Source organism: Homo sapiens, chromosome 5, assembly GCF_000001405.40.
Source record: "Homo sapiens chromosome 5, GRCh38.p14 Primary Assembly".
In the NCBI taxonomy this organism is placed as follows: domain Eukaryota; kingdom Metazoa; phylum Chordata; class Mammalia; order Primates; family Hominidae; genus Homo; species Homo sapiens.
In genome coordinates this window covers 46553116-46563966 of record NC_000005.10, presented here as the reverse complement: position 1 = coordinate 46563966, position 10851 = coordinate 46553116, and the positions used below count along the sequence as shown (strand labels likewise).

The following is a 10851-nucleotide window of genomic DNA, read 5'->3' as shown; positions in this document are numbered from 1 at the left end:
TCTGTCTAGTGTTTAAGTGACGACATTACCTTTTCCCACATAGGCAACAAAGCGCTCCAAATGAATACCTGGGGGTTCTACAACAAGTGTGTTTCAACACTGCTCTATCAAAAGAAAGTTTCAAGTCTGTGAGTTGAATGCACACATCACAACGAACTTTCTGAGAATGCTTCTGTCTATTTTTCAGGTGAAGATATCACTTTTTCCAACATACGTAAAAAAGTACTGGAAATGAACACTTGCAGATTCTACAAAAAGTATGTTTCAACACTGCTCTATCAAAAGAAAGGTTCAACGATGTGAATTGAACACACACATCACAAAGGAGTTTCAGAGAATGCTTCTGTCTAGTTTTTTTATTTGAAGGTATTTCCTTTTCCTTCTTCGGCCTCAAATCACTGCAAATATCCACTTGCAGATACTACACAAAGACTGTTTCAAAACCGCTCTCTCAGAAGGAAGGTTTGACTCTGTGAGTTGAATGCACACGTTACGAAGCAGTTTCTGAGAATGCTTCCGTCTAGTTTTTTATCTGAAGCTATTTCCTTTTCCATCTTAGCCCTCAAATCACTACAAATATGCACTTGCAGATAGATACTGTAAAAAGACGGTTTCAAAACCTCTCTCTCAAAAGGAAAACTAAAATCTGCGAGTTGAATGCACACATCATAAAGCAGTTCCTGAGACTGCTTCCGTCTAGTTTTTTATTTGAAGGTATTTCCTTTTCCTTCTTCGGCCTCAAATCACTGCAAATATCCACTTGCAGACACTACAAAAAGACTGTTTCAAAACCGCTCTCTCAAAAGGAAGGTTCGACTCTGTGAGTTGAATGCACACGTTACGAAAGCAGTTTCTGAGAATGCTTCTGTCTAGTTTGTATCTGAAGTTACTTCCTTTTCCATCATAGGCCTCAAATTGCTCCAAATATCCCCTTGCAAATACTACAAAAAGACTGTTTCAAAAGTTCTCTCTCAAAAGGAAGGTTCAACTCCGTGAGTTGAATGCACACATCACAAGGCAGTTTCTGAAAATGCTTCTGTCCAATTTTTATGTGAGGATATTCCCTTTTTCATCATAGGACTCACGTCGCTCTAAATATCCAATTTCAGATACTACAAAAAGACTGTTTCAAAACTGCTCTCTCAAAGGGAAGGTTCAAGTCCGTGAGTTGAATGCACACATCACAAAGCAGTTCCTGAGAATGCTTCTTTCTAGTTTTAATGTGAATGTATCTCCTTTTCCACTATAGGCTTCAAAGCGCTCCAAATGAGAACTGGCAGATCCTCATAAAAGACGGCCTCAAAACCGCTCTATCAAAAGAAGGGTTCCACTCCAAGAGGTGAATTCACCTATCACGAAGAAGTTTCTGGGAATGCTTGGGTCTACTTTTCATGTGAAGATACCCGTTTCCAACGAATTCTTCAAAGAGTTCCAAGTATCCACAAGCAGATTCTACAAAAGGAGTGCTTAAATGCTGGTCTATCTAAAGAGAGATTCAACTCTGTTAGTTAAATGCACACATCTCAGTGAAGTTCCTGAGAATGCTTCTGTCTAGTTTTTATTTGAAGATATTTCTTTTTCCACCATAGGCAACAAAGCGCTCCAAAGGAACTCTTGCGGATTCTACAAAAAGCGTGTTTCTACACTGCCCTATGAAAAGAAAGTTTCAAGTCTGTGAGTTGAATTGCACACATCCCAGTGAACTTTCGGAAAATGCATGGTCTGTCTAGTTTGTATGTGAAGAGATTCCATTTACAACGAATTCCTCAAAGAGCTCCAAATATCCACAAGCAGATTCTACAAAAACAGTGTTTTGAAACTGCTCTATCGATAGAAAGGTTCAACTCTGTTAATTGAACACACACATCCTAAGGAGTTTCTGAGAAACCTTCTGTCTGGTTTGTATGTGAAGTCATTTCCTTTTCCATCTAAATCGCCTCAAATCGCTAAAAGATCCACTCACAGATACTACAAAAAGACTTTCAAAACTGCTCTCTCAACAGGAAGGTTCAACTGTGTGAGTTGAATGCACACATCACAAAGCAGTTTTTGAGAACGCTTCTGTCTAGCTTTCTATGTAACGTTATTTTCTTTGCACCAGAGGCAACAAAGCACACGGAATGAAATCTTGCAGATTCTACAAAAGGTGTGTTTCAACACCGTTCTATCCAAAGAAAGTTTCGAGTCCGTGAGTTGAACGCACACAACAGAAAGCAGTTTCTGAGGATGCTTCTGTCTAGTGTTTCTATGAAGATAATTCTTTTTCTACCATAGGCAACAATACGCTGCAAATGAACACTTGCAGATTTCACAAAAACTGTGTTTTAACACTGCTCTATCAAAACAAAGGTCCAAGTCTGTGAGTGGACTGCACACATCACAAAGCAGTTTCTGAGAATGATTCTCTCTAGTTAGAATGTGAAGATATCCCGTTTACTACGAATTCCTCCGAGAGCTCTAAATATCTGGAAGCAGATTCTACAAAAGGAGTGCTTCAAACCTGCTCTATCAAAAGAAAGGTTCAGTTCTGGGAATTGAACACAAACATCACAAAGGAGTTTCTGAGAATGCTTCTGTCTAGTTTGTATGTGAAGACATTTCCTTTTCCATCATAGGCCTCAAATCGCTCCCAATATCCACTTGCAGATGCTACAAAAATACGGTTTCAACACTGCTCTCTCCAATGGAAGGTTCAACTCTGTGAGTTGAAGGCACACATCACAAAGCAGTTTCTGAGAATGCTTCTGCCTAGTTTTTTGTGAAGATATTCCCTTTTCCACCATGGGCTTCACAGTGCTCCAAATGAAAACTTGCAGGTCCTACCAAAAGACTGATTCAAAACTGCTCTCTCAAAAGGAAGGTTCAACTGTGTGAGTTGAATGCACACATCACAAAGCAGTTCCTGAGAATGCTTGGGTCTACTTCTTATGTGAAGATACCCGTTTCCAACGAATAACTCAAAGAGTTCCAAATATACACAGTCAGATACTGCAAAAGGAGTGTTTCATTCCTGCTCTGTCAAAAGACAGTTTCAACTATGTTAGTTGAATGCACACATCTCAGTGAAGTTCCTGAGGAGGCTTCTGTCTAGTGTTTAGGTGACGATATTACCTTTTCCCACATAGGCAACAAAGCGCTCCAAATGAATACTTGTGGGTTCTACAAGAAGTGTGTTTCAACACTGCTCTATCAAAAGAAAGTTTCCAGTCTGTGAGTTGAATGCACACATCACAATGAACTTTCTGAGAATGCTTCTGTCTATTTTTCAGGTGAAGATATCACTTTTTCGAACATACGCAAAAAAGAACTCAAAATGGACACTTGCAGATTCTACAAAAAGTATGTTTCAACACTGCTCTATCAAAAGAAAGGTTCAACGATATGAATTGAACACACACATCACAAAGGAGTTTCAGAGAATGCTTCCGTCTCGTTTTTTATTTGAAGGTATTTCCTTTTCCTTCTTCGGCCTCAAATCACTGCAAATATCCACTTGCAGATACTACAAAAAGACTGTTTCAAAACCGCTCTCTCAAAAGGAAGGTTCGACTCTGTGAGTTGAATGCACACGTTACGAAGCAGTTTCTGAGAATGCTTCTGTCTAGTTTGTATCTGAAGTTACTTCCTTTTCGATCATAGGCCTCAAATTGCTCCAAATATCCCCTTGCAAATACTACAAAAAGACTGTTTCAAAAGTTCTCTCTCAAAAGGAAGGTTCAACTCCGTGAGTTGAATGCACACATCACAAGGCAGTTTCTGAAAATGCTTCTGTCCAATTTTTATGTGAAGATATTCCCTTTTCCATCATAGGACTCAAGTCGCTCTAAATATCCAATTTCAGATACTACAAAAAGACTGTTTCAAAACTGCTCTCTCAAAGGGAAGGTTCAAGTCCGTGAGTTGAATGCACACATCACAAAGCAGTTCCTGAGAATGCTTCTTTCTAGTTTTTATGTGAATATATCTCCTTTTCCACCATAGGCTTCAAAGCGCTCCAAATGAGAACTGGCAGATCCTCATAAAAGATGGCCTCTAAACCGCTCTATCAAAAGAATGGTTCCACTCCAAGAGGTGAATTCACATATCACGAAGAAGTTTCTGAGAATGCTTGGGTCTACTTTTCATGTGAAGATACCCGTTTCCAACGAATTCTTCAAAGAGTTCCAAGTATCCACAAGCAGATTCTACAAAAGGAGTGCTTAAATGCTGGTCTATCTAAAGACAGATTCAACTCTGTTAGTTAAATGCACACATCTCAGTGAAGTTCCTGAGAATGCTTCTGTCTAGTTTTCATTTGAAGATATTTCTTTTTCCACCATAGGCAACAAAGCGCTCCAAAGGAACTCTTGCGGATTCTACAAAAAGCGTGTTTCTACACTGTTCTATCAAAAGAAAGTTTCAAGTCTGTGAGTTGAATTGCACACAACCCAGTGAACTTTCGGAAAATGCATCTGTCTAGTTTGTATGTGAAGAGATTCCATTTACAACGAATTCCTCAAAGAGCTCCAACTATCCACAAGCAGATTCTACAAAAACAGTGTTTTGAAACTGCTCTATCGATAGAAAGGTTCAACTCTGTTAATTGAACACACACATCCTAAGGAGTTTCTGAGAAACCTTCTGTCTGGTTTGTATGTGAAGTCATTTCCTTTTCCATCTAAATCGCCTCAAATCGCTAAAAGATCCACTCGCAGATACTACAAAAAGACTTTCAAAACTGCTCTCTCAAAAGGAAGGTTCAACTGTGTGAGTTGAATGCGCACATCACATAGCAGTTTTTGAGAACGCTTCTGTCTAGCTTTTTATGTAACGATATTTTCTTTCCACCAGAGGCAACAAAGCCCACAGAACGAAATCTTGCGGAATCTATAAAAAGTGTGTTTCAACACCGCTCTATAAAAAGAAAGGTTCGAGTCCGTGAGTTGAACGCACACAACAGAAAGCAGTTTCTGAGGATGCTTCTGTCTAGTGTTTCTATGAAGATAATTCTATTTCTACCATAGGCAACAATACGCTGCAAATGAACACTTGCAGATTTCACAAAAACTGTGTTTTAACACTGCTCTATCAAAACAAAGGTCCAAGTCTGTGAGTTGACTGCACACATCACAAAGCAGTTTCTGAGAATGATTCTGTCTAGTCTAGTTAGAATGTGAAGATGTCCCGTTTACAACGAATTCCTCCGAGAGCTCTAAATATCTGGAAGCAGATTCTACAAAAGCAGTGCTTCAAACCTGCTCTATCAAAGGAAAGGTTCAGCTCGGGGAATTGAACCCAAACATCACAAAGGTGTCTCTGAGAATGCTTCTGTCTAGTTTGTATGTGAAGATATTTGCTTTTCCATCATAGGCCTTAAATCGCTCCAAATATCCACTTGCAGATACTACAAAAATACCGTTTCAACACTGCTCTCTCCAATGGAAGGTTCAACTCTGTGAGTTGAATGCACACATCACAAAGCAGTTTCTGAGAATGCTTCTGCCTAGTTTTTTGTGAAGATATTCCCTTTTCCACCATAGGCTTCACAGCACTCCAAATGAAAACTTGCAGGTCCTACAAAAAGACTGATTCAAAACTGCTCTCCCAAAAGGAAGGTTCAACTGTGTGAGTTGAATGCACACATCACAAAGCAGTTCCTGAGAATGCTTGGGTCTACTTTTTATGTTAAGGTACCTGTTTCCAACGAATAACTCAAGGAGTTCCAAATATACACAGTCAGATACTGCAAAAGGAGTGTTTCATTCCTGCTCTCTCAAAAGACAGTTTCAACTCTGTTAGTTGAATGCACACATCTCAGTGAAGTTCCTGAGAAGGCTTCTGTCTAGTGTTTAAGTGACGATATTACCTTTTCCCACATAGGCAACAAAGCGCTCCAAATGAATACTTGTGGGTTCTACAAAAAGTGTGTTTCAACACTGCTCTATCGAAAGAAAGTTTCAAGTCTGTGAGTTGAATGCACACATCACAACGAACTTTCTGAGAATGCTTCTGTCTATTTTTCAGGTGAAGATATCACTTTTTCCAACATACGTAAAAAAGTACTCGAAATGAACACTTGCAGATTCTACAAAAAGTATGTTTCAACACTGCTCTATCAAAAGAAAGGTTCAACGATGTGTATTGAACACACACATCACAAAGGAGTTTCAGAGAATGCTTCCGTCTGGTTTTTTACTTGAAGGTATTTCGTTTTCCTTCTTCGGCCTCAAATCACTGCAAATATCCACTTGCAGATACTACAAAAAGACTGTTTCAAAACCGCTCTCTCAGAAGGAAGGTTCGACTCTGTGAGTTGAATGCACACGTTACGAAGCAGTTTCTGAGAATGCTTCTGTCTAGTTTGTTTCTGAAGTTATTTCCTTTTGCATCATAGGCCTCAAATCGCTCCAAATATCCACTTGCAAATACTACAAAAAGACTGTTTCAAAAGTTCTCTCTCAAAAGGAAGGTTCAACTCTGTGAGTTGAATGCACACATCACAAGGCAGTTTCTGAAAATGCTTCTGTCCAATTTTTATGTGAGGATATTCCCTTTTTCATCATAGGACTCACGTCGCTCTAAATATCCAATTTCAGATACTACAAAAAGACTGTTTCAAAACTGCTCTCTCAAAGGGAAGGTTCAAGTCCGTGAGTTGAATGCACACATCACAAAGCAGTTCCTGAGAATGCTTCTTTCCAGTTTTTATGTGAATATATCTCCTTTTCCACCGTAGGCTTCAAAGCGCTCGAAATGAGAACTCGCAGATCTTCATAAAAGACTGCCTCAAAACCGCTCTATCAAAAGAAGGGTTCCACTCCAAGAGGTGAATTCACATATCACGAAGAAGTTTCTGAGAATGCTTGGGTCTACTTTTCATGTGAAGATACCCGTTTCCAACGAATTCTTCAAAGTGTTCGAAATATCCACATGCAGATTCTACAAAAAGGAGTGTTTAAATGCTGGTCTATCTAAAGACAGATTCAACTCTGTTAGTTAAATGCACACATCTCAGTGAAGTTCCTGAGAATGCTTCTGTCTAGTTTTCATTTGAAGATATTTCTTTTTCCACCATAGGCAACAAAGCGCTCCAAAGGAACTCTTGCGGATTCTACAAAAAGCATGTTTCTACACTGCTCTATCAAAAGAAAGTTTCAAGTCTGTGAGTTGAATTGCACACATCGCAGTGAACTTTCGGAAAATGCATCTGTCTAGTTTGTATGTGAACAGATTCCATTTACAACGAATTCCTCAAAGAGCTCCAAATATCCACAAGCAGATTCTACAAAAGCAGTGTTTTGAAACTGCTCTATCGATAGAAAGGTTCAACTCTGTTAATTGAACACACACATCCTAAGGAGTTTCTGAGAAACCTTCTGTCTGGTTTGTATGTGAAGTCATTTCCTTTTCCATCTAAATGGCCTCAAATCGCTAAAAGATCCATTCGCAGATACTACAAAAAGACTTTCAAAACTGCTCTCTCAAAAGGAAGGTTCAACTGTGTGAGTTGAATGCACACATCACATAGTAGTTTTTGAGAATGCTTCTGTCTAGCTTTTTATGTAACGATATTTTCTTTCCACCAGAGGCAGCAAAGCACACGGAATGAAATCTTGCGGATTCTACAGAAAGTGTGTTTCAACACCGCTCTATCCAAAGAAAGGTTCGAGTCCGTGAGTTGAACGCACACAACAGAAAGCAGTTTCCGAGGATGCTTCTGTCTAGTGTTTCTATGAAGATAATTCTTTTTCTACCATAGGCAACAATACGCTGCAAATGAACACTTGCAGATTTCACAAAAACTGTGTTTTAACACTGCTCTATCAAAACAAAGGTCCAAGTCTGTGAGTTGACTGCACACATCACAAAGCAGTTTCTGAGAATGATTCTGTCTAGTCTAGTTAGAATGTGAAGATATCCCGTTTACAAAGAATTCCTCCGAGAGCTCTAAATATCTGGAAGCAGATTCTACAAAAGCAGTGCTTCAAACCTGCTCTATCAAAGGAAAGGTTCAGCTCGGGGAATTGAACACAAGCATCACAAAGGAGTTTCTGAGAATGCTTCTGTCTAGTTTGTATGTGAAGATATTTCCTTTTCCACCATAGGCCTCAAATCGCTCCAAATATCCACTTGCAGATACTACAAAAATACCGTTTCAACACTGCTCTCTCCAATGGAAGGTTCAACTCTGTGAGTTGAATGCACACATCACAAAGCAGTTTCTGAGAATGCTTCTGCCTAGTTTTTTGTGAAGATATTCCCTTTTCCACCATGGGCTTCACAGTGCTCCAAATGAAAACTTGCAGGTCCTACCAAAAGACTGATTCAAAACTGCTCTCTCAAAAGGAAGGTTCAACTGTGTGAGTTGAATGCACACATCACAAAGCAGTTCCTGAGAATGCTTGGGTCTACTTTTTATGTGAAGATACCCGTTTCCAACGAATAACTCAAAGAGTTCCAAATATACACAGTCAGGTACTGCAAAAGGAGTGTTTCACTCCTGCTCTGTCAAAAGACAGTTTCAACTCTGTTAGTTGAATGCACACATCTCAATGAAGTTCCTGAGAAGGCTTCAGTCTAGTTTTAATGTGAAGATATCACCTTTTCCCACATAGGCAACAAAGCGCTCCAAATAAATACTTGAGGATTCTACAAAAAGTGTGTTTCAACACTGCTCTATCAAAAGAAAGTTTCAAGTCTGTGAGTTGAATGCACACATCAAAAAGAACTTTCTGAGAATGCTTCTGTCTATTTTTTAGGTGAAGATATCACTTTTTCCAACATACTCAAAAAAGTACTCCAAATGAACACTTGCAGATTCTACAAAAAGTATGTTTCAATACTGCTCTATCAAAAGAAAGGTTCAAAGATATGAATTGAACACACACATCACAAAGGAGGTTCAGAGAATGTTTCTGTCTAGTATGTATCTGAACTTATTTCCTTTTCCATCATAGGCCTCAAATCGCTCCAAATATCCACTTGCAAATACTACAAAAAGAATGTTTCAAAACTTCTCACTCAAAAGGAAGGTTCAACTCTGTCAGTTGAATGCACACATTACAAAGCAGTTTCTGAGAATGCTTCTGTCCAATTATTATGTGGAGATATTCCCTTTTCCATCATAGGCCTCAAGTCGCTCTAAATATCCAATTACAGATACTACAAAAGGACTGTTTCAAAACTGCTCTCTCAAAAGGAAGGTTCAAGTCCGTGAGTTGAATGCACACATCACAAAGCAGTTCCTCAGAATGATTCTTTCTAGTTTTTATGTGAATATATCTCCTATTCCACCATAGGCTTCAAAGCGCTCCAAATGACAACTGGCAGATCCCAATAAAAGACTGCCTCAAAACCGCTCTATCAAAAGAAGGGTTCCACTCCAAGAGGTGAATTCACATATCACGAAGAAGTTTCTGAGAATGCTTGGGTCTACTTTTCATGTGAAGATACACGTTTCCAACGAATTCTTCAAAGAGTTCCAAATATCCACAAGCAGATTCTACAAAAGGAGTGTTTACATGCTGGTCTATCTAAAGACAGATTAAACTCTGTTAGTTAAATGCACACATCTCAGTGAAGTTCCTGAGAATGCTTCTGTCTACTTTTTATTTGAAGATACTTCTTTTTCCACCATAGGCAACAAAGCGCTCCAAATGAATTCTTGCGGATTCTACAAAAAGCGTGTTTCTACACTGTTCTATAAAAAGAAAGTTTCAGGTAAGTGAGTTGAATGCACACATCCCAGTGAACTTTCGGAGAATGCATCTGTCTAGTTGGTATGTGGAGATATTCCATTTACAACGAATTCCTCAAAGAGCTCCAAATATCCACAAGCAGATTCTACAAAAGCAGTGTTTTAAAACTGCTCTATCAATAGAAAGGTTCAACTCTGTTAATTGAACACACACATCCAAAGGAGTTTCTGAGAATCCTTCTGTCTGGTTTGTATGTGAAGTCATTTCCTTTTCCATCTAAATGGCCTCAAATGGCTAAAAGATCCACTTGCAGATACTACAAAGAGACTTTCAAAACTGCTCTCTCAAAAGGAAGGTTCAACTGTGTGAGTTGAATGCACACATCACATAGCACTTTGTGAGAATGCTTCTGTCTAGCTTTTTATGTAACGATATTTTCTTTCCACCAGAGGCAACAAAGCACACGGAATGAAATCTTGCGGATTCTACAAAAAGTGTGTTTCAACACTGCTCTATCCAAAGAAAGGTTCGAGTCCGTGAGTTGAACGCACACAACAGAAAGCAGTTTCTGAGGATGCTTACTGGGTATATACCCAAAGGACTATAAATCATGCTGCTATAAAGACACATGCACAAGTATGTTTATTGTGGCACTATTCACAATAGGAAATACTTGGAACCAACCCAAATGTCCAACAATGATATACTGGACTAAAAAAATGTGGCACATATACACCATGGAATACTATGCAGCCATAAAACATGATGAGTTCATGTCCTTTGTAGGGACATGGATGAAATTGGAAAACATCATTCTCAGTAAACCATCACAAGAACAAAAAACGAAACACCACATATTCTCACTCATAGGTGGGAATTCAACAATGAGATCACATGGACACAGGAAGGGGATTATCACACTCTGGGGACAGTTCTGGGGTGGGGGATCGGGGTGAGGGAGAGCATTGGGAGATATACCTAATGCTAGATGACGAGTTAGTAGATGCAGTGCACCAGCATGGCACATGTACACATATGTAAATAAACTGCAAAATGAGCAAATGCACCCTAAAACATAAAGTACCTAAAAAAATAAAAAAAACTGCTCTATCAAAAGAAATTTTCAACTCTGTGAATTCAAAACACACATCACAAAGTAGTTTCTGAGAATGCT

The 10851-nt window shown here is 39.0% G+C and overlaps 1 annotated feature.

Moving 5' to 3' along the window:
* Positions 1-10851: part of a centromere (Linear centromere model derived predominantly from reads generated in PMID: 17803354. This region does not represent an actual centromere sequence, as long-range ordering of repeats and unmapped WGS contigs is not provided by the model. For details of model production, see http://arxiv.org/abs/1307.0035.) that runs on past both edges of the window.